Source organism: Homo sapiens (genome assembly GCF_000001405.40).
Source record: "Homo sapiens chromosome 16 unlocalized genomic scaffold, GRCh38.p14 Primary Assembly HSCHR16_RANDOM_CTG1".
In the NCBI taxonomy this organism is placed as follows: Eukaryota; Metazoa; Chordata; class Mammalia; order Primates; family Hominidae; genus Homo; species Homo sapiens.
Genome location: NT_187383.1, coordinates 420965 through 446171, shown reverse-complemented (window position 1 = coordinate 446171; position 25207 = coordinate 420965). Strand labels below are relative to the sequence as shown.

The 25207-nt window shown below is 36.9% G+C and overlaps 1 pseudogene; it reads left to right on the top strand.

Annotated features, from left to right (window-relative positions):
- LOC102723945 (sodium/hydrogen exchanger 9B1-like) overlaps positions 1-25207 on the top strand; it is a 278678-nt pseudogene that overhangs the window by 225928 nt on the left and 27543 nt on the right.

The following is a 25207-nucleotide window of genomic DNA, read 5'->3' as shown; positions in this document are numbered from 1 at the left end:
GAATTCCAGACTCTCAGAGGAAAAGCAGCTGTTCAGAGTAAACCACATTGTTTGTATAAACAGTTTAGGCACAGTGAGCCACTCTTCTCAGTGAGAGAATTGGAACTTGGAACTGGAAAACTCTAGCCTAGCATGTGGGTCTTTCTTTTCTTTCTTTCTTTCTCTTTCTTTCTTTCTTTCTTTCTTTCTTTCTTTCTTTCTTTCTTTCTTTCTTCCTTTTTCTTTCTTTCTTCTTTCTTTCTCTCTCTCTTTCTTTCTTTCTCTCTCTCTTTCTTTGTTTCTTTCTCTCTTTCTTTCTTTCTCTCTCTTTCTTTCTTTCTTTCTTTCTTTCTTTCTTTCTTTCTTTCTTTCTTTCACTTTGAGTTCCAGGATACATGTGCAGAACATTCAGGTTTGTTACACAGGTATACATGTGCCATGGTGGTTTGCTGCACCTATTGACCCTCAGGATCTCTCACTTAAATTTTTGTCTTGTCTTCCACTTCCCCAGTTGAAACTGCAACCTCAGACTAGCAAATCTGCAATTCTCTCTGTTCATTCCCAAACCACTCTGCTATATTTAACTGGCAAAACCATTGATTTCTTCCCTCTGCTCCATACCAAATCCACCCGTGCCCCCAGCCCTAACAGGAAAGCTGCTGGGTTTTACATCCAGCTTCAAACTGGTAAAACTACAGTTTTCCCCAACTGAGCTTGGGGGTGAGAAGAGAGATGGGAGTGTATTAGTCTGTTTTCATTCTGCTAATAAAGACATACCCAAGACTGGGAAGAAAAAGAGGCTTAATTGGACTTATAGTTCCAGGTGGCTGAGGAGACCTCAGAATCATGGCAGGAGGTGAAAGGCACTTCTTACATGGTGGTGGCAAGAGAAAATGAGGAAGATGCAAAAGCGGAAACCCCTGATAAAGCCATCAGATCTTGTGAGACTTATTCACTACCACGAGAACAGTATGGGGGGGAACCACCCCCATGATTCAATTATCTCCCACGAGGTCCCTCCCACAACACATAGGAATTATGGGAGTACAATTCAAGATGAGATTTGGATGGGGACACAAAGCCAAACTATATCAGGGAGAAACCCCCGTCAGGAAGGGCTCAGACTTTTACCAATCCTACCCAAAACCCTAACACTTTTTTCAAGAATAAATGCTTCTTAAATTTGATAACTGCCTTTGATGAGTTTTCAGGGTCCTGAAATTATTGTTTTTGGTATTTCTGCAATTTTTGGGGGGAGTTTTGGTGTGGAAATAAATTGCCAACCTTTTCATGTCACCTCCCAACCTTATCTTTATATCCTCTGATTAACAATTTTCATTAGTAATGTGTTACACAACAAATACTTGTTTAGACTAACCTACATTTTACCAATTTCTTTGCACATTGTTCCGTCTTTTCTGGTTCTATGTCATATTTCTAAAGCATATCTTTCAGTAGATTTTTCCCTGGTAAAAAATGGCATATGTTCTTAAATGTATTTGTTTGACAATATCTTTCATTTGTCTTTTGTTCGAGTGACAGTTAACTGGCTACAGAATTCAACACTGAATGTTTTATTTATCTCTGTACTTTGAAGACTTTATTTAATTATCTTCCATCTTCTATTGTTGCTGATAAGAATTGAGAATCTGCTCTATTGTTTATTCAATTATGATTAATCTCTCTTTCTCTGTCTAGATTATTTAAGATTTTATTTTTGCCTTTGGTAGTCTATAGTTTCTCAACATTTTATCTAAGTATCTATTTTTACTTAATCATGATTAGAACTCATTTGACTTCCTGTGTCCAAATCAATAAAAACCCTAATCAATTCTGTAAAATTTGAAGCCAGTTTTCTTCTCAAATATTATATCTTCTTCATTCTTTCAATGGATGTTTCTGAAACTACCATTAGTTGTGTTTTAGATCTTTTCCATAATCTAAATCTCTCATTTTCCACCTCGTTTTTTTTTTGTGTGTGCTATGCTCTTAAATAATTTCCTCATATCTACTACTTTGCTGTGTTCTCTCTTCAGCTTTGCCTAGATTGCTATTTGGGTACTTAGTGGGTTTTTTTCAGTTGAGTAAATTTTAAAGTTTTTTCTAGATGTTCTATTTAATTATTTTACAATACTTTCAAGTAATTTCTTCTTCTCATGTCTCCAATTTTTAAAAATTTTCTCTAGTCCCTTTGAAAATACATATTTTATAGTGTCTATCTAGTGGTTCTATTAGCTGAGGTTTTTAGACATCTAATCCCATTCTTTATTGTATCTGTTAACTTTTGCTCATGGGATATTTCTTCTTATTTTAAGTTCAGATTCACTTGGCTTTACCTTTGAGACTTTATGCAGTCTGGGATCAGGTGTGTCTATTAGAGATTTTTTGAATTAGCATCTACTAAGTTTTCTAGGGATACTTCAATGCAGGGACACTTTTATGGTAGGTTTAGAACTTTGGGATCCCTAACCTGTGCACGTAATGTAATTTGAGCCCTACGCATAAGTTGGATGAGGCCAGTTTTACATATGAATTCTCAAAAAAGACTTTGCCACCCAGAGACCAGCTAAGACAAACTGCCTTGTCTTCTCAATTTGTCAGTAGGATGACATTTTCTGGTCTGTGTTTTTTATTTTTGTTTTTTGTTTTGTTTTGTTTTCTTGAGATGGAGTTTTGCTCTTGTTACCCAGGCTGGAGTGAAGTGGCGCCATCTCAGCTCACTGCAATGTCCGCCTCCTGGGTTCAAGCAATTCTCCTACCTCAGCCTCCCAAGTAGCTGGGATTACAGGCATGCACCAACAGGCCAGGCTAATTGTCTGTATTTTTAATAGAGACGGCGTTTCACCGTGTTGGTCAGGCTCATCTTGAATTCCTGACCTCAGGTGATCCACCCGCCTCGGCCTCCCAAAGTCCCGGGATTACAGGCACGAGCCACCATGCCCAGCCTGGTCCATTATTTTAGTAAGAGTTTAGCCCTCCAAGGCTTCCAGTTTTGCAGGATGACAATAATCAGAGGGGAGGAGGAAAAAAACTTTGTTCTAACTTTCTGCCTGGAGTGAGTCAAAATCCTCCTCTTCTACCCTGGCAAATTCTATACAGCCAGAAAGGGTTCATAGCTAAAAAGTTCATGTAAGCTGTTTTAAGAATATTAAAAGCTCCTGGCTAACATGGTGAAACCCAGTCTCTACTAAAAATACAAAAAATTAGCCGGGCGCGGTGGCGGGCGCCTGTAGTCCCAGCTACTCGGGAGGCTGAGGCAGGAGAATGGCGTGAACCCGGGAGGCAGAGCTTGCAGTGAGCCGAGATTGCGCCACTGCACTCCAGCCTGGGCGACAGAGCGAGACTCCGTCTCAAAAAAAAAAAAAAAAAAAAAAAAAAAGAATATTAAAAGCATTAGCAATTATGATTCATAGCAAATAAAGGTAGCCATTTAATTAGCAAATGGAAATTTACCATGTTATTGTCTGTCCTTTACAGAAACCTGTGGATTCCTCAGTGAGTAGCACCTAGTTGTCAGAAACAAGATGTCTAGTAACTTATACCTACTCATCTTAATCTACCTCTACCTCCTACACATAATCTAAGATACTTTATATTTATTCCCACAAAATCTAGGTACATTTCTTCCAGCCATTTCCTCCTATAATACATTTATGCCAAATATCAGTTGAATTATCCTTTCAATAAAAAGATTTAGCAGGTTCCTGTTAAAAGATTTGGCACCTTGACACTGTGATCTTCAATAAGGTTGTGAATTCTTATCACAGCCAATCATCCTCTTATTTTCCATCCTGATGAAAAAGCTATTTTAAAATATAAAATGAAGTAAATCTCATCATATTGCCATGATGTTTTTAACTATCATATATTATAAGTTAGCATTTTCAAGAGTTCACATATAGGTTTTTTTTTTAATTTTTTTTATTTTTTTATTGAGACTGAGTCTCACTCTGTCACCCAGGCTGGAGTGCAGTGGCACAATCTTGGCTCACTGCAACCTCCACCTCCTGGGTTCAAGCAATTCTCCTGACTCAGCCTCCCATATAGCTGGGATTACAGGCACGCACCACCACGCCTGGCTAATTTTTGCGTTTTTAGTAGAGACGGGATTTCACTGTGTTGGCCAGGCTGGTCTCAAACTCCTGACCTCATGTGATCCAGCCCACCTCAGCCTCCCAAAGTGCTGGGATTAAGGCGTGAGCCACTGCACCTGGCCCACATATAGTTTTTAAATATTTTTAAAGTGAAAACACTTTGTTTAAAACCTACTTCATAAATTGACAGGTTATTTGGAATATATGTTAAGCAGATATCTCTTTCACCAAACTAGTAAGCAATGTTGATCTATACCATGTATCATTTTATAGAACTGGCTATTAGTATATATGATAAAAGAGAATTGATCATTTGTTTGTATACATCTATGTGTATGTAGATATATAGCTGTACACTTTTTTGTATTTTAGGAGTTACACTGTTTGTGATATGGTGTATGACCTGGTCAATCTTAGGCTCTGAAGCTCTCCCTAGTGGAAATTTATTTGGATTGTTAATTATTTTTTATAGTGCCATTATTGGGGGAAAAATTTTACAACTCATTAGAATACCTTTAGTGCCTCCATTTCCACCTCTTCTTGGTAAGTATATAATTAGCTCTCTTTTCTTTATTATTGACTATATGCAAATTTTGAACATTTTCTTGTTGAATTAGTTATAATTCAGAAATATTTCAATGTAGTATGTTTTATATAGTTTCTTCATGTGTGTATTTGCTGTATGTGTGTGTGTGTGTGTGTATAGCTCTTTTATAGGGGCATTTATTTCTCTCTCTGTCTACATATATACACACACAAGTTTTATCCAAAATTTATTTTTAAAATAAATTTAATATCCTTAGTACATTATTCCTGTTGCTTTATTGTTTAATAGAATCTTTAAAAATTTTAGATTCACGGAGTACATGTGCAGGTTTGGTACATGGATATATTGCATAATGGTGAGATTTGGGCTCTAGTGAACCCATCATCAAACAGTGAATACTATACCCAATAGGAAATTTTTCAACCTTAACTCTCCAACCCTCTCTCCTTTTGGACTCCCCAGTGTCTATTATTTCCATCTTTATGTCCATATGTACCCATTGTTTAGCTACCACATATAAGTGAGAACATGTGGTATTTGAGTTTTCTGTTTCTGAGTTATTTCACTTAGGATAATGGTGTTCAGCTCTATCCATGTTGCTACAAAGGACATGATGCCATTCTTTTTTATGACTGCATAGTATTCCATGGTGTATATGTAACACATTTTCTTTATTTAGTCATTTAAGTTGATTCCATGTCTTTTTATTGTGAATAGTGCCACAATGAACATATGTGTGTATATGTCTTTATGGAAGAATGATTCACATGTTGAACCATCCTTGTATTTCTGGAGTACAACCCACTTAACTATATTATCTCTTTGATGTACTATTGAATTGATTTTGCTAGTTGAGAATTTTTGCATCTATGTTCATCAGGGATATTGACCAGTAGTGTGTGTGTGTGTGTGTGTGTGTGTGGCTTTGCCTGATTTGGGTATAATTGTGATACTAGATTCATAGAATGTGTTAGGGAGGGAGTCCCTCCTTGATTTTTTTGGATTAAGTTTCAGTCACCTTTGACCCTGAACTAGTATTCTAGTGGATTGTACAATGACCCTGAACTAGTGGATTGTACAATGAATAAATGAATGAATATAAATTATTGCAAAATAAAATTTTGTTAAGTATATGATAACCATACAAATGCAAGACAATAAACAATGTGATGTGAAAACTCTCAGCCAGCCTACCATATTTGTGTTTGTTTTTGAACTGTATAGTGGGAGGAGGTGCTCCTTACAATTTTCACTTTGTAAACATTTATTCTTTGATTTTAACCATCACTGCTATAACCACCGTCACTCGTGGATTCATCAAAAATTAAGTAAAGAATTATCTTATTTATTTTATAAAACTTTGTAAAATGTATGTAGAGCTCAAATTTATTTCATTGTTTAATACTAGAAGTGTTTTGGATCTTTATTTAGAAGTTTGATGATGTTTTGTGACCAGAAATATGCTGTAGGAAATTGACTCTTGTTCATATCATTTAGCCTATGCTAAAATTGGTTTTATTGTATACCATTTTACTCAAAGTTGCCATTTCCAATCACCTATCGACGATGCTGAGTGAGAACTTACTGTATTCAAATATATCTAAATATTCAGTACAGTGGGCCAGGCATGGTGGCTCATGCCCATAATCCCAGCAGTTTGGGAGGCCAAGGCAGGAGGATCACCTGATCCCAGGAGTTCAAAACCAGCCTGGGCAACATAGCAGACCTTGTCTTTACAAAATATTAAAAATTTTTCTGGGTCTCAGCTACTCAGGAGGCTAAGGCAAGAGGATCACTTGAGCTCAGGAGGTTAAGCCTACAGTGAGCCATGTTTGCATCACTGCACTCACCTTGGGCAACAGAATGAGACCCTGTCCCCAAAAATAAATATATATTCAGTACACTGTCAGTAGAGATAATCTCTACATCTTATCCCTGCTGTCCCTTCTGTATCCACAGTTTTCTTACAGCACCTTCTAAGTATTTATTGAATCATTTTCCTCCTCTCCAAACTTTCTCTTTTGCTCTAGCTTAGGCTATTTGTTTCCAACTTTTGCGTGGACTGTGACGGAGCCTTCAATTTGGTCTCTGTCTCCAGTTTTATCCCTAACTAATTCACCAAGACCCTCATATAAAAATCGCAAGACTCATTATATTACTTCCTGCCTAAAACCTTCCCATGGTGCCTTACTTTGCCAAAGTGGGGGGAGACCTTTCTATGATCTGGCCCACCAAGCTCATTCTCCTCCCTCCTTTCCTTGCCCTGTATGTTCCAGCAACACTAAATTACTTGTTGAACCCCATTTAGGTGTATTGTTTATCGCCATTCCTTTATTCATGCTGCCTTCTCTACTTGCTTGTAACCTGCCCTTTACCAAAATAATGAGAGACATAGTGCATTAGAAAATAAACATTTCTGTTTTCTTTCTCAGAAAAATGAACTGTCATGTATGTTTATTTTCTTTCTTTTAAGGGATGTTACTGGCTGGATTTACAATTAGGAATGTTCCATTCATCAGTGAACACGTCCATGTTCCTAACGCATGGTCTTCAATTTTAAGAAGCATTGCCCTTAACATTATTCTAATACGAGCTGGGCTTGGACTCGATCCACAGGTAGATTTACAATTACAAATCGAGTAAGGTTATTTCAAATATTAGAGGATGGTGAGAAAGAAAAAGAAGCAAAAATTGTATTTACCTGTTCCAAGTGGAGTCTGTAAACAAACCTAAGATAAAGAAAAAAAGGCCGGGCATGATGGCTCATGCCTGTAATCTACAAAAATTAGCCGTGCATGGTGGCATTTACCTGGTAATCCCAGCTACTCGGGAGGCTGAGGCAAGAGAATCGCTTGAACCTGAGTGACAGAGGTTGCAGTGAGCTGAGATAGTGCCACTGCAATCCAGCCTGGGGGACAGAGTGAGACTCCGTCTCAAAAAACAAAACAAAACAAACAAACGTTTTATAAGAAAAACCTTATACAATTCTTTTTCTTTTTTTAGGGAGATTAAGGATTTCAGTAATTTTTTATGACGTTTTCTCTACAGGATTATGTTCCTGATTATCTTTGCATTATTGTAAAATCTAATCTTTTAAAGCATTTCTTAAAATATTACATTCTAGGGATCATAAATCCCATCTATAAGAAGATGACTATTCATGAATATGACAGCCACTCAAATAAATGTGGCAAATGTGGTTTAATAGAAATAGCTCAAGAGCATAAATAATTATAGCCAATGAGATTATATTCTCCAGCAGAAAGTATGAACCAAGGAGAAAATTGAAAAGTTCTCCCTTTTAAAATGAATTATGCAGTTTTTAAGTTATTTTCTTTGGCATGTTAGTGTTGTATTTATACTTATTAAGTTAATCAAAGAGTTCATATCAAAAAGTTAATGGGAAAACACTACTAGGACACTATTATTATACTATGTATTAGGAAAGTTCAGGAAGGTAGCATTAGCTATTTAATCACAGTAAAATTGATATTTTCATATTAAAATACAATAATATTTTATAAAAGATGAAATTGTTTATAATCCAACCTATGATGACTTATAAAATATAATAGAGTTCAAAGTCCAGTGGGGCAATCTGTTGAAATGAGATTTTGTTTAGTGAAAGCTTCTTATGAAAAAAGACTTTATAGTCCAACATTTGTTAAAATAATTTTCTTGTTGGCCACTGTAAATGCATCAAATGTGACTGTTTTGTGTTTCAGGCTTTGAGACATTTGAAGGTGGTTTGTTTCAGATTGGCTGTAGGTCCATGCCTTATGGAGGCAAGTGCAGCTGCTGTTTTTTCCCACTTCATTATGAAATTTCCCTGGCAATGGGCAATTCTATTAGGGTAATTTCTTTCTCATTTTTTCTTATGAAAATATTCAATTAAGGATGCTTGTTTAAAACTGTTAAAACATTCAGAATATTGTATAGAAAATCTCTATTAAAATTCATTTCACAGTGTTAAAATCCTTGGAAAGCAGTTGATTAAAAGCAGAGAATGTCCCAAATTGCACGAAATTTTTTTAACAAACATTCATATCCCCTAAATGTTTATCATAAAGAAAATTCACGTGATCAATTTATTCCTTTTCATCTGTATTATAACATATCTGTATGCTTTAGTCTATCTAATGGCCTCTTCCTCATAGCTATATGTAAATACAGTTGCACATTTCATATATATGTATGTGTGTATATATATATTTGAGAAACATTTTATATAGACATAGGTGTATAAATATAAACTCTCCCATTTTAAAGAAAGCAAGCAAACAAAAACTCTTGCCATATATCCAATGCCCCATCCATCTTTATTTACATCCATTTATCTTATGTTTGAATTCCTCAAAATAAGTCTATAACTACTGTCTCTAGATCCTAACTCCTTTTCATTTCTTAATTCATCAACTTTTGTCTCTGCTTATCCATTCCAATGACACTCATAGCAAAGATCATCCATTACATAGTTACTACAAAATCCAGTGAATTTTTAAATTAATGTTTATGATTAAATACTCAAATGCACTTTTATTTTAAAAATTAGAACTTTATAAATAAAGGAGGAATGACCTTAAACTATGCCTTCAAATCATAATGCCCGTAACTCTACCCAAAGTGACAACTCTTAGGAGTTTTTTTCTTCTCCAATTTTTATTTTGGCTCAAGGGGTACATGAGCAGGCTTGTTATATGGATAAATTGCATGTCACAGGGGTTTGGTATGCGGATTATTTTGTCACCCAGGTTGTAAGTATAATACCCAATACGTAGTTTTTCCATTCTCCCCCTCCTTCCACCCTCCACCCTCAAATTCACCTAGTGACAATTGTTCCCTTCTTTCTGTCCATGTGTACTCAGTGTTTAGCTCCCACTTATAAGTGAGAATATGGGATATTTGGTTTCCTGTTCCTGTGTTAATTCACTTTGCATATTGGCCTCAACTCCATCCACGTTGCTCCAAAGGACATGATCTCGTTCTTTCTTATGGCTGTGTATTATTCTATGGTGTATATGTGCCACATTTTCTTTATCTAGTTCACCATTGATGGGCATTTAGGTTGATCTCATGTCTTTTTTATTTTTTTCATTAGTTTTTAAGGAACAGGTGGTGTTTGTTTACATGGAAAATATTTTTAGTGGTAATTTCTGAGATTTTGGTGCACCCATCACCAGAGCAGTGTACACTGCACCCAAGGTGTAGTCTTTTATCCCTCACCCTCCTCCTACTCTTCCCCCTAAGTCCCCAAAGTCCATTGTATCATTCTTATGCTTTTGCATCCTCATAGCATAACTCCCACTTATAAGTCAGAACATACAATGTTTGGTTTTTTCATTCCTGAATTACTTCACTTAGAATAATGGTGTCCAACTCCTTCCAGGCTGCTGTGAATGTCATTATTTCATTCCTTTTTATAGCTGAGTAGTATTCCGTCCATGGTCTGTGTGTGTATATATATACACACATACACACATATACACACATATATATGTGTATATACACACATATACACACATATATATGTGTATATACACACATATATATGTGTGTATATACACATATATACACATATATATGTGTATATACACATATATACATATATACACATATATACACATATATATGTGTATATACACATATATACACATATATATGTGTATATACACATATATACATATATACACATATATGTGTGTATATACACATATATACACATATATGTGTGTATATACACATATATACATATATACACATATATGTGTGTATATACACATATATATATACACCACATTTTCTCTATGCATTCATTGATTGATGGGCATTTGGGCTAGTTCCATATCTTTCACAATTGCAAATTTTGCTGCCAAAAACGTGTGTGCAAGTGTTTTTTTCATATAATGACTTCTTTTCCTCTGGGTAGATACCCAGTAGTGGGATTGCTAGATCAAATGGTAGATCTACTTTTAATTATTTAAGAAATCTTCATACTCTTTTCCATAGCGGTTGTACTAGTTTACATTCCCCCCAGCAGTGTAAAAGTGTTCCCTTTTTACCACACCCATGGCAACATCAATTTTTTTTAATTTTTTGATTATGGCTCTTCTTGGAGGAGTGAGATGGTATCGCATTTTGGTTTTGTTTGCATTTCCCTGATAATTAGCGATATTGAGGATTTTTTCATGTTTCTTGGCCATTTATATCTTCTTTTGGGAAGTGTCTATTCATGTCCTTAGCACACTTTTTGATAGGATAAATTGTTTTTTTCTTGCTGATATGAGTTCCTTATAGATTTTGGATATTAGTACTTTGTTGGATGCATAGTTTGTAAAGATTTTCTCCCACTCTATAGGTTGTCTTTTTACTCTGCTGATTATTTCTTTTGCTGTGTAGAAGCTTCTTAGTTTAATTAAGTCCCATCTATTTATCTTTGTTTTTGTTGCCTTTGCTTTTGGGTTCTTGGTCATGAAGTCTTTGCCTAAGCAAATGTCTAGAAGGGCATTTCCAATGTTACCTTCTAGAATTTTTATAGTTTTAGGTGTTAGATTTAAGTCTTTGATCCATCTTGAGTTGATTTTTGTATAAGGTGAGAGATGAGGATGCAGTTTCATTCTTCTACATATGGCTTGCCAAATATCCCAGCACTGTTTGTTGAATATGGTGTCCTTTCCCAACTTTATGTTTTTGTTTCCTTTGTTAAAGATCAGTTGGCTTAAGTATTTGGCTTTATTTCTCAGTTCTCTATTCAGTTCCATTAGTCTATGTGCCTATTTTTATACCAGTATTATGCTGCTTTGGTGAATATAGCCTTATAATATAGCTTGAAGTCAAGCAATGTGATGCATCCACACTTGTTCTTTTTGCTTAGTCTTGCTTTCATTATGCGGACTATTTTTGGCTTCCACATGAATTTTAGGATTGCTTTTTCTAGCTCAGGGAAGAATGATGATGTAGATTGCTTTTGGCAGTATGGTCATTTTCACAATATTGATTCTACCTATCCATGAGCATGTGATGTGTTTTTATTTGTTTGTGTCATCTATGATTTCTTTCTGCAGTGCTTTGTAGTTTTCACTGTAGAGGTCTTTCACCTCCTTGGTTAGGTATATTCCTAAGTTGGTTTGCTTGGGGTTTTTTTCTTTGGTTTTGTTTGTTTGTTTTGTTTTTTTTGTAGCTGTTTTAAAAGGGGTTGAGATCTTGATTTAATTCTCAGCTCAGTCACCGTCAGTGTATACCAGTGCTACTGATTTGTGTACATTGATGTTGTATCCTGAAACGTTACTGAACTCATTTATCAGATCTAGGAGCTTTTTGGATGAGTCTTTAGGGTTTTCTCATTATATGATCATATCATCAGGAACAGCAACAGTTTGACTTCCTCTTTACTGATTTAGATGCCCTTTATTTCTTTCTCTTGTCTGATTGCTCTGGCTAGGACTTCCAGTACTATGTTGAATAGAAGTGGTGAAAGTGGGCATCCTTGTCTTTTTCCAGTTCTCAGGGGAATGCTTTCAACTTTTCCCCGTTCAGTATAATGTTGGCTGTGGGTTTTTCTTTCTTTCTCTTTCTGTATTTTTTTTTTGAGATGGAGTCTTGCTCTGTTGCCCAGGCTAGAGTGCAATGGCCCAATCTCAGCTCACTGCAACCTCTGCCTCCCAGGTTCAAGCAATTCTCATGCCTCAGCCTTCCAAAGACCTGGGAGTAGCTCCCCAAACTCGCCAGCATCTATTACTTTTTGACTTTTTAATAATAGCCATTCTGCCTCCTGTGAGGTTGTATCTCATTGCACTTTTGTTTTGCATTTCTCCAATGATTAGTGATGTTGAATATTTTTTCGTATACTTGTTGACTACGTGTTTGTCTTCTTTTGAGAAGTGTCTTGTCCTGTCCTTTGCGCATTTAATGAGGTTGTTAGATTTTTGCTTGTTGATTTTTCTAAGTTCTTTTTGGATTCTGGATATCAGACTTTTGTCGAATGCATGGTTTGCAAATATTTTCTTCCATTCCATAGGTTGTTTGTTGATGATATCTTTTGCTGTGCAGAAGCCCTTTAGTTTAATTAGGTCCCATTTGTCAATTTTTGTTTTTGTTGCAATTGCTTTTGGCATCTTTGTCATAAAGTGTTTTCCAGAATTGAAATTTCCTAGGATATGTCCAGAATGGCCTGTATCCAGAATGGTATTTCTTAGGCTATCTTCCAGGGTTTTTATAGTTTTGGGTTTTACACTTAAGTCTTTAATCTACCTTGAGTTGATTTTTGTAAACAGTGAAAAGTATGGAGTCCAGTTTCAATTTTCTGCATACGGCTAGCCAGTTATCCCACCACAATTTCCAAGTAGGGATTCCCTTCCCCATTGCTTGTTTTTGTCAAGTTTGTTGAAGAGTAGATGGCTATAGGTGTGTGGCTTTATTTCTGCGTTCTGTAACTTGTTCCACTGGTCTATGTCTGTTTTTGAGTTCCTTATAGATTCTGGATATTAGTACTTTGCTGGGTGCATAGTTTGTAAAGATTTTCTCCCACTCTATAGGTTGTCTTTTTACTCTGCTGATTATTTATTTTGCTGAGCATAACCATGCTGTTTTGCTTACTGTAGCATTGTAGTACAGTTCGAAGTCAGGTAGTGTGACGCTTTTGACTTTGTTCTTTTTGCTTAGGATTGCTTTGGCTATTTGGGCTTTTTTTTTTTTTGGCTCCAAATGAATTTTAGAATGCTTTTTTTTTAATCCTGTGAAAAATGTCATTGGTGTTATGATAGGAATGGCATTGACTCTGTAAATAGCCTTAGACAGTATGGACATTTTAACAATATTGCTTCTTCCTATCTGTGATCATGGAATGTTTTCCTTTTGTTTCTGTTGTCTCTGATTCTTTGAGCACTCGTTTGTAATTTTCATTTTAGAGATTTTTCACCTCCCTGCTTAGCTGTATTCCAAGGTATTTTGTAGTTTTTTTTGTGGCTACTGTGAATGGGATTGCATTCTTGATTTGGCTGTCAGCTTGGATGTTGTTGCTGTATAGAAATGCTACAGATTTGTGTACATTAATTTTTGTATCCTGAAACTTTGCTGAAGTCATTTGTCAGATCTGGGAGCTCTCGAGAGGCTACTATGGGGTTTTCTTGGTATAAAAGTGTTTCACCCAAGAAGAGGCATAGTTTGACTTCCATTCTTCGTATTTAGATGTCTGTGTTTCTTTCTCTTGCCTAATTGCACTGGCTAGGACATCCAGCACTATGTTGAATAGGAGTAGTGAGAGTGGGCATCCTTGTCTTGTTCCAGTTCTCAAAGGGAATATTCCAGCTTTTTCCCATTCAGTATGAAGTTGGCTGTGGGTTTGTCATAAATGGCTTCAATTATTTTGAGGTATGCTCCTTCAGTAACTCATTTGTTGAGGGTTTATATCAAGAAGGGATGTTTTTATTTTTAGTTCTATTTTATGATGAATCACATTTATTGGTTTGTATATCTTGAACCAAACTTGCATCCCAGCAATAAATCTTACATGATCATAGTGGACTAGCTTTTTGATGTGCTGCTGGATTCAGTTGGCTTGTATTTTGTTGAGGATTTTTGCATCTATGATTATCAGTGATAACTGTCCTGAAGTTTTCTTTTTTGCTGTGTCTCTGCCAGGTTTTCATATCTGAATGATGCTGACCTCATAAAATGAGTTAGGGAGGGATCCTTCCTCCTCATTTTTTCAGAATGATTTCAGTAGCATTGGTACCAGCTCTTCTTTACACTTCTGGTAGAATTTGTCTGTGAATCTGTTGGGTCCTGGGCTTGCTTTTTTTTTTTTTTTTTGGCTCAGAGACTTTTTATTACTCATTCAGTTTCAGAACTCATTTTTGGTTTGTTCAGGATTTCAATTTCTTCCTAGTTCAATCTTGGGAGGTTGTATGTTTCCAGAAATGTACCCATTTCTTGTAGGTGTTCTACTTTGTTTTCATAAACATGTTCATCTTAGTCTCTGAGAGTTTTTTGTATTTCTGTGTGGTTGGCGGTAATGTCCACTTTACCATTTCTGATTGTGTTTTTTGTATCTTCTCTTTTTTTTTTCCTTATTGGTCTAGCTAGTGACCTATCAAATTTATTTATTCTTTCGAAGAACCAGCTTTTAGTTTCATTTATCTTTTGTATGGCTTTTCATGACTCAATTTCATTCCATTCTGCTCTGATTTTGGTTGTTTATTTTCTTCTGCTAGCTTTGGGTTGGTTTCCTCTTGTTTTTCTGTTTCCTTTAGGTATGATATTAGGTTGTTAATTTAAGATCCTTCTAACTTTTCAATATGGGCATTTAGCACTATAAACTTTTCCCTTAACACTGCTTTGCCTGTGTCTTAGAGAGCCTAGAATATTGTATCTTTGTTTTAATTAGTTTCAAAAAATATATTGGTTTCTGCCTTAATTTCATTGTTTACCCAAAAGTCATTCAGGCACAGGTTGTTTAATTTCCATGTAATTTTATGGTTTTGAGAGTTCTTCTTAGTGTTGACTTCTATTTTTGCTACACTGAGCGGTCCAAGAGTGTGGTTGGCATGATTTCAGGGGCTTCTTTTAATTTATTGAAAATAATTTTAGACTGATAGTGTGATCAATTTTACAATATATGCCATGTACAGATGAGAAGAAGATATATTCTGTTGTTGTTGGGTGGAGTGTTCTGTAGATGGCTGTTAGGTCCATTTAGCCAAATGTTGACTTCAAGTCCTGAATATCTTTGTGCATTTTCTGTCTCTATGATCTGTCTAGTACCATCAGTGAGATGTTGAAGTCTCCCACTATTATTCTGTGGTTATCTAAGTCTCTCTATAGGTCTCTATGAACTTGTTTTACAAATGTGAATGCTCCAGTTTTGAGCACATTTATCTTTCAGACAGTTAAGTCTTCTTGTTGAATTGAACCCTTTATCATTACATAGTACCCTTCTTTGTCTCTTTGATTGTTGTTGGTTTAAAGTCTATTTTGTCTGTATTAGAATAACAATGCTTACCCTTTTTTGTTTTGCATTTGCTTGGTAGATTTTTTTCCATCCTTTTACTTCAAGCCAAGGGGTATTGTTGCATATGAGCTGGGTCTCTTGACAACAGATACAGTTGGGCTTTGCTTCTTTATCCAACTTGCCATTCTGTGAGTTTTAAGCAGGGCATTTATACTGTTTACATTCACAGTTAATGGTATTTATAGCTTTGGTCCTGCCATTATGTTGTTAGCTGGTTATTATGCAGACTTGATTGTGTAGTTACTTTACAACGTCAATGGTCTATGTACTTAAATGTATTTTTGTGGTGGCCATTAACAGTCTTTCACTTCCACGCTTAGCACTCCCTTAAGGACCTCTTGTAAGGCATGTCTGGTGGTAACAGATTCCGTTAGCATTTGTTTGTCTGAAAAGGATCTTACTTCTCCTTCACATATGAAGTTTAGTTTGGCTGGATATTAAGTTCTTGGTTGAATTTTTTTTTTTTTTTTTTTGCAACAGAGTCTTGCTCTGTCCCCAGGCTGGAGTGCAGTGGTGCTATCTCGGCTCACTGCAACCTCCACCTCCTGGGTTAAGTGATTCTCTTGCCTCAGCCTCCCAAGTAGCTGGGACTACAGACACGCACCACCATACCCAGCTAATTTTTGTATTTTTATTAGAGATGAGGTTTCACCATGTTGGCCAGGATGGTCTTGATCTCTTGACCTTGTGTTCTGCCCTCCTCAGCCTCCCAAAGTGCTGGGATTACAGGCATGAGCCACCATACCCGGCCAAGTATTTTTTTTTTAAGAATGCTGAAGGCCAGGTGTGGTGGCTCACACCTGTAATCCCAGCACTTTGAGAGGCCGAGGTGGGCAGATCACGAGGTCAGGAATTTGAGACCACCTTGGCCAATATGGTGAAATCCTGTCTCTACTAAAATTACAAAAAATTGCCAGGTGTTGTGGTGTGCACCTGTAGTCCCAGCTACTTGGGAGGCTGAGGGAGAAGAATTGCTTGAACCCGGGAAGTGGAGGTTGCAGTGAGCCGAGATAGCACCAGTGCACTCCAGCCTGGGCAACAGAGTGAGACTCCGTCTCGAAAAAAAAAAAAAGAATGCTGAATATAGGCCCCCAATTTCTTTTGGATTGTAGAGTATCTTATAGTTCTTATAGTTCCACTGTTAGCCTGGTGGGATTCCCTTTGTATGTGACCTGCTCCTTCACTTTAGCTGCCTTTCATATTTTTTTATTTCATGTTGACCTTGGGGAATCTGATGACTCTCTGTCTTGGGGATGGTCATCTTGTATAGTATCTCACAGGATTCTCTGCATTTCCTGGATTTAAATGGTGACTTCTCTAGCAAGATTTGGGAAATTTTTGTGGGCAGTATCCTCAAATATGTTTTCCAACTTGCTTGTTCTTTCTCCCTTTCTTTGAGTGGTGCCTTGAGTCATATGTTTGGTCTCTTTACATAAGCTCAGATTTCTCAGAGGTTTTGTTCATTCTTTTTTGTCGTTTATTTTCATATGACTGAGTTGATTCAAAGAAGTGGTCTTTGAGATCTGGGATTCTTTCCTCAGCTTGGTCCGTTCTACTGTTAGTACTTGTTATTGCATTATGAAATTCTTGAGGTGCATTTTTCAGCTCTATCAGTTTAGTTTGGTTCTTTCTTAAAATGCCTATTTCATCTTTCAGCTCTTATGTCATCTTATTGGATTCCTTAGATTATTTGGATTGGATTTTGACTTTCTTCTGAATCTCAATGATCTTTGTTTCTATCCAGATTCTGAAATCTATGTCTGTCATTTAGTCCTGGTTAACAACCATTGTTGGAGAGTTAGTATGATTGCTTGAAGACAGGAAGACATTCTGGCTTTTTACATTGCCAGAGTTCTTGCACTGGTTCTTTCACATCTGTGTGGGCTAAGGTTCCTTTAATGTTTTGACTCACTGTCCTTTGGATGGAGTTTTTTCCTTTTTTATATTCTTTAATGCCCTTGAGGGTTTAACTGTGGCACAAGGTAGTTTCAGTCAAATGGCTTCATTTCTGGAAGATTTCAGGGGGCAAAGGCTCAGCTCAGCACTCCTGAACTGCATGCTCTAACTTTGCAAGGCTGGTACCATACCCACAGATTTGTTGTCTGGCCCTTCAATGTTAAGCACTAAGGTGTTCCCAGTCCACTGGCAACAACACTCTGATGGGATGTGCCAGCCAAAGTGCTTCACTGTAGTGATTGTAGCAAGGTCCCCACTCACACATACGTGCCAGCAGCAGCAGCACACAGCAGGTATGCATGTGTTGGCAGGGGTGCAGTGCCGGCAGGAGTGGGATGGGGGTGTTCTGCATACTTGCACGTGCCAGCCGGGGCAATGGTGCTGTGGGGTGCACTCATGTGCCGCTGGAGACAGAGTGGCAGCATCTTCGTGAGTTTTATGTTATCATTCTAGAGCTTTAAAAATAATGTTCTGGACTTCTAACAAATGTATTTGTGAACCCAGAGAAAAAAAGAGTATTATTTTGTGCATTTTTATGTAATCATACCCAAGAAAATTTTACTTTACAATTTGTTCTTTTCACTCAACAATAGTCTCAAGGTTTATCCATCTCAAGATGGATACACATGTAGTTTATTCCTTTTAATTGTATAAGATTACATTGTATGTCAACAGCAGATTTTATTTACAATGTTATAACAAAAATAGCATTTTATTTGTCTCATTTTACATAACTATAAGTTTGTCTAGAATAGTTACCTGGGTTACATGCATTTTTAGTTTGATATATACAGCCAAAATCCTTTCGGTATGGCCACTTTAATTTGCCCTAATACCAGTAGCTTATGAGCATACCTGTTGTTCTTGAAAATCCTTGCAAATCCTTGATATTATTAAATTTTATAATGTTTTCCAGTCTGATAATTGAAAAAATGGCATATTTTTGTTATTTTAATTTGCATTTCTGTGATTATTCACAAGCTTGAATATATTTTATATATGTGTTGTCCTTCAGCTTTTCCTTATCTGTAGCTAGCCTGTTCATATCTTTGTCCATTTTTTTGTTGAGTTGGTCTTCTGTATTAATTATATATGTTATATGCATTTGTAAATTATATGTACTGCAAATATCAGTAGATATTTAATTTTGTTTGTGATGATTTTTTTCACTCTAATAAGTGTATTTTGTTATTTTCAACAGACAGAATTGCCAATACACAACACTGTTCACTTGACTTTGAAAATGAAAAAGAGAAAAAGGGGGAGAAAGAGCAGAATTGCTTTCGAAGTAGTACTTTATTATAGTACTTTTGAAGTTGCTTTTGAAGTACTACTTTAATATAATTGAATGTATCAAAATCTCTTTTTATGTCTAATGCCTTTGTATGTATCATTCAAAAGGTCCTTTTTACCTCATGATCACAAATATATTATTCTACATCTTTTTGTTGTTGTTGTTCACAGTCTTGCTGTCACCCAGGCTGTAGTGCAGTGGCATGATCTCAGCTCACTGCAACCTCCACCTCCCAGGTTCAAGTGATTCTCCTGCCTCAACCTCCCAAGCGGCTGGGACTACAGGCATGCACCACTGCACCCAGCTATTGGTTTTGCCATGTTGGCCAGGCTGGTCTCAGATTCCTGATCTGTCCGCCTCAGCCTCCCAAAGTGCTGGGATTACAGGTGTGAGCCATCACGCCTAGCCCACTACATTTTCTTATTACTACTTTTCCTTTTGAGCTTTTAACAGTTATTATGTGTAAGGATCTATCTATATTCCTTTCCACATAAATAGTTATCTCAACACCATTTGTGAAAGATTTCTTTCTTTCTCCCACTGATTTAAAATACCAATTTATGATGTAACAAATCCCATAGATTTGTTTCCACACTTTGTATTCTCTTTTCTTCCAATTTATTTTGTCTATTTATATGTCACTATTATTCAGTTTTAACTATTTAACCTTTACAAAAATAGTATCTGGTTTTCTTAAGTTTACTTGATCTTTCATTCTAAGATCTTATTCTTCCAAATGAATTTTATAATCAGCTTTTCAAGCTCAGTAAAAGTCCCTGCAAAGATTTTGATTGGTGTATCTCTGATTAATTCATTTGGGGAGAGATTACATCTTTATATTATTGAGGCTTTGGCTGGGCATGGTGGCTCACACTTATAATCCCAGCACTTTGGGAGGCCAAGGCAGGCATATCACTTGAGGTCAGGAGTTCAAGACCAGCCTGGCCAAAATGGTGAAACACTGTATCTACTAAAAACACAAAAACTAGCCAGGCGTGGTGTTGGGCAATGGTAAAATTGGGGCTTTTTAGTTCACACTTGTGAAATGTGTAAGTATTCAGGTATTATCTTAATTATTATATTATTATATTCACAATTTTTATAAAAGTATAGACTGTCTTCACAGTTTTGTTCTTAGATACTTTGTGTTTTTAATTGATGTTGTGGATTAAATTCTCTTTGATCACTTATTCCTGGGGAAGCCAGCTGCCATGTCCTGAGGCAGCCCTGTGGAGAAAACCCCATTGGAAAAAACTGAAGCCTGCAATGGCTACATGAGTAAACTTGGAAGCAGATCTTCTCCACCCCACCCTACCTCATGGGAAATCTTAAGTCAAGGCATACAGCTAAGCCATGCCCAGATTCCTGACCCACAGAAGCATAAGACAATAAATATTTGTTGTTTTAAGCTGCTATGTTTGGGGATGACTTGTTAAGCAAAATGAGAAAAATAATACAACAGGTGATTACAATGTGCAGCAGAGTTCAGGAACCACTGAACTAGACCAGTATGTGGTCTTAGAGAAGTCTAGTCTCTTCTTGAGCCCACAGGGAAATCTGTAGCATAAACTGTGCCATAGAGTTGTACAGCCGGAAGCAAATCTCACATCAGTCCGTCATTGGCAGATGCTGTCTGGAGGGAAAGTAGAGGGGTGCGCAACCTCTCTAGTATTCCCAGGTAGGTGCTTGTCAGCAGGACAAGGGTTCTAGAAACCTGCAGATATTAGCAGCCAACAAGAAGCACTGGGAGATGTGTTCATTGACCTGGTAAATGGATTCTGGCAGGAGCACCAAAAGCATTTTTACACAGGATATACTTCACACTTTATAAAGTAAATGTAGAAGAGATGAGGTGAAATTCTGGATAAGATATGCCAATAGAAGGTATTCTGAGCAGGAGCCTCCCCATTCCTCATGGGTGTCATCAACCACTCCAGAAATGTTCTCATTTGCCTTTGTAACTTAGGTGGCCACACTTGTTTTTTTGGGCAGACAACTCTGTTCCTTCCTTCCTTCCTTACTTATTTACTCAAGAGGTAGGAAATGTGTGGAAGGTAGATTTGTCTGACCATTCTTACAGTGCTACTCCAAATAATAGACTATTTGGTTTCCCCGGAGGTCTCTCCTGCTCCCAGCATCTGTCATTTCAGGGCTTGGACCACTTTTAGAAGCACATGTATCTTTTGAGGCAATCTTATTTACACACATTTTGGTTTATGGTTTCCTTTTTTCAATGCTAAATTGTCTGTCTCTTATCTTTCTGGCATATACTTAGTTTCTTGTCCATTGATGATTCACCTTTTGCTTTCTAGTTAGGTTATGAATTTTTCTATGACCTTTACATCTTCACTTCAAAGGATTTAGGAATAGAGGGAGAGGCTGCAACCTGTGCTCAGCCCAACATTTTAAACCACGTCTGTATAAAATTTTAGCCAGCACTAAACAATGCATGAAAAGTTTTATCACCATTAAATTGCATTCACTCAAATTTGAAATTCTTCTAAACAATGTTTGTTATACATTTATTATAAACTATTTGTACTTATAAAACACTACTTGATTAAAAAGATGCTTTTAAATTAATTTTCATTCTTTCTTTCAGTTTTGTTCTAGGTGCTGTCTCTCTTGCTGTTGTTGTCCTTTACACGATGGTGTTGCAAGAAAATGGATATGGTGTTGAGGAAGACATTCCAACCTTACTAATGGCTGCTAGCAGTATGGATGACATTCTGGCTATCACTGGATTCAATACATGCTTGAGCATAGTCTTCTCCTCGGGTAAACAAGAAAATATAACAACCACCAGATCATTCATGACCTTTTTTGTTAGTTCTTTAAACAGGGTTTCTGGCTTTGCTTCTTCATTTATTAACCAAGACTGTTCAATTTAACATCTTTTTAATCTCCATAGAAAGCTCATTCCAGACCAAGGAAGATATTTCAGTGGCTTAAGATACCACTACTTAACACACATGATCTCACTTTAATAATCATGTGACAATTAATTTGATAAACCATATTATTTCTATTTATCTGCTTATGTTGCTTTTGAATTTTATCAGTTCTCATTAGAAAAAATTAAGCAGCAGTATTATTTGTACTACTAATATTTTAATAGGCATTTTTGAAATGTGCCTTTTTGGCCATCCTAATAAACAAATGGTTGCTCTATCATAAGACGACATAAACATACAGAGCTGGGACAGCCATATGCCTTTTTGGTAGTGTTAGGACAAGATCCTGCACCAGTTCTGATTCCCAAGGTGATATCTGGTCTTGAATATCACTACAGAAATTGTGAAACTAAATATTTCCACATTAAGTAATGCTTTAATTATCTGCAATGTTTGAGTCTTCTGTATTACTGAAGCACTAAACTATTTTTAAGTTGAAAAGTAATATATATAGTTTTATAGTTTCTCTTAAAATAAGAAAATATAAATAAATAAGAAAAAGAGGAAAAGTTAAAAATAAAATCTGCAATAGTCACATCCAGAAGAAAAGAATCATTTCCTTCTGAACCTTTTGATATAAACCCACCCATATTCCCTTCCCTTCCCTTCTTCCCTTCTTCCCTTCCCTTCCCTTCCCCTCTCTTCCCCCTTCCCTTCCCTTACCCCTCTCTCTGTCAAATATTCTTATAAAAATCAGTGAATATTGACCAATATGTTCTTTTATTTTTTTTTTTGAGGCGGAGTCTTGCTCTGTCACCCAGGTTGGAGTGCAGTGGCACAATCTCAGCTCACTGCATGCTCTGCCTCCCGGGTTCATGCCATTCTCCTGCCTCAACCTCCAAAGTAGTTGGGACTCAGGCGTCTGCCACCATGCCCGGCTAATTTTTTTTGTGTTTTTAGTAGATCCAGGGCTTCAACATGTTAGCCAGGATGGTCTTGATCTCCTGACCTCGTGATCCTCCTGCCTCGGCCTCCCAAAGTGCTGGGATTACAGGCTTGAGCCATCGCACCCAGCCTAATATGTTCTTATAACCTGAATTGTTTTACACTTAACTGTATATCACAAACATGTTTCTTTTCAGTAAATGTGTTTGTATATCATTTTAAATAGTTGTTTAGCTTAATGAAAGAGTATTCAATGTGCTGCATCATGATTACTCATCCTGTTCAAAATTAAAGTTAACTCCAATATTTGCTATTAAAATAATGCTTAGTTGTGCTGCTATAAAAATATTTTTTTAAATTAAAAAATTGGCCGGGCATGGTGGCTGACACCTATAATCCCAGCATTTTGGGAGGCCAAGAAGGGTGGATCACTTGAGGTCAGGAGTTCAAGACCAGCCTGGCCAACCAACATGGTGAAACCCCGTCTCCACTAAAAATACAAAACTTAGCCGGGCATGGTGGTGGGCATCTGTAATCCCAGCTACTCAGGAGGCTGAAGCAGAAGAATCACTTGAACTCAGGAGGCGGAGGCTGTAGTGAGCTATCCAGCCTGGGCAACAGAGTGAGACCCTGTCTCAAAAAGTTTTTCTTACTTAAAAAAATAATACTTAGTTGAACATATAGAGAAATATTTGTACCTAATCTTCATATTTTCTTAAGCTTAAAAGTGTAATTGTTGATCTAAAAGGTGTATACGTTTATGAGTGTTCTGAAACATATTGCCACAATATCATGTCCTACCAGGGTACATAAACTTGTCATTTCCTCTCACCTCTCTTCAAAATTTGGTATTACTAGCCTTTTTCATCTTTGCTAATTTGATAGGTGAAGGAGGGATCTCTGTAAATGAAGTACTTTGAATACTAGTGATGTTAAATATCCATGTTTATTAGTCATTGGCATTTTGTAAACTGCTTTTCTTGAAAGTTTTCTGCCTACTTCTTTTAGGTGGGTTCACCTTTTGTTCTTTTTGATTTGTCAAGATTCTGCATTAAATTGAGAATGAAAACCTTTGTTTTATATACTTTAGTTTTTTCAATTTGTAATTTGGCTTTTAATTTTCTCACCCTTTTTACCATTCAGAAGTTAAAGTTTTTTATTGTCAATTGTCAAAATCTTTTCCTTCATGATTGGTATCTGTCATTCTTTCAAAAATATTGTTATCAGTCATGTTTCAAAAAAATATTTCCAGGCTGGACCCAATGGCTCATGCCTATAATCCCAACACTTTGGGAGGCCAAAGCGGGTGGATCACTTGAGGACATGAGTTCAAGACCAGCCTGGCCAACATAGCAAAGCTCCATCTCCACTAAAAATACAAAAAGTTAGCTGGGTGTGGTGGCACAGGCCTGTAATCCCAGCTACTCAGGGGGCTGAGGCACAAGAATCACTTGAACCCAAGAGGCAGAGGTTGCAGTGAGCCAAGATCACACCATGGCACTCCAGCCTGGGTGACAGAGGGAGACTGTCTGAAAAAAATAAAAAAAAAAATCCTCTTCCTTTTGCTGGCTACTATGCCAAACACTGAGAATGAACAGTAGGCAACAACATTAGCTTTTATTGAATACTTGCTTGGCTCTTGTTCTAAGTTCCATATATGTCACCACTCATTTACAGGTAAGGAAACTGAGAAAGATGTTAAATAATTTACTCAAGGACAGAGATCCAATAAGTAGGGGAGCCAAGATGCAAATCTGACAGTCTCACTCCACACCCACACATTTAACTCTTCTCTTCTCCACTGCCTCCCAACACAACAGAGAGACAAGATCAAATGGTGCATGTTCTCAACGAGCTTGTATATTAAAGAAAAATTACAAATGGGATGAATATTACATTGTGTAGGTTAATATTAAGTAAGTGTCAACTTGATTGGATTGAAGGATCCAAATTATTGTTCCCGGTTGTGTCTGTGAGGGTGTTGCCAAAGGAGATTAACATTTATTTAGTGGACTGGGAAAGGCAGATCCACCCTCAATGTGGGTGGGCACCATAAAATCAGCTGCCAGCATGGCTCGAATAAAGCAGGCAGAAGAAGGTTAGGAGAAGCTGACTTGCTGAGCCTTCTGGCCCTCATCTTTCTCCCATGCTGGATGCTTCCTGCACTCAAATATCAGACTCCAGGTTCTTTGGCTTTTGGACTCTTGGGCTTACTCCAGTTGTTTTCCAGGGGCTCCCAGGCCTTCATCCAGAGACTCAAAGCTGGCCTGTCGGTTTCCCTACTTTTGAGGTGTTGGGACTCGGACTAAGCCAATACTAGATTCCTTGCTCCTCAACTTGCAGACGGCCTGTTGTAGGACTTCACTTTGTGATGGTGTGATTCAATTCTCCTTAATAAACTCCCTGTCATATATATATATGTATGTGTATATATATATGTATGTATATATATGTATATATATATATGTATGTATATATATGTATGTGTATATA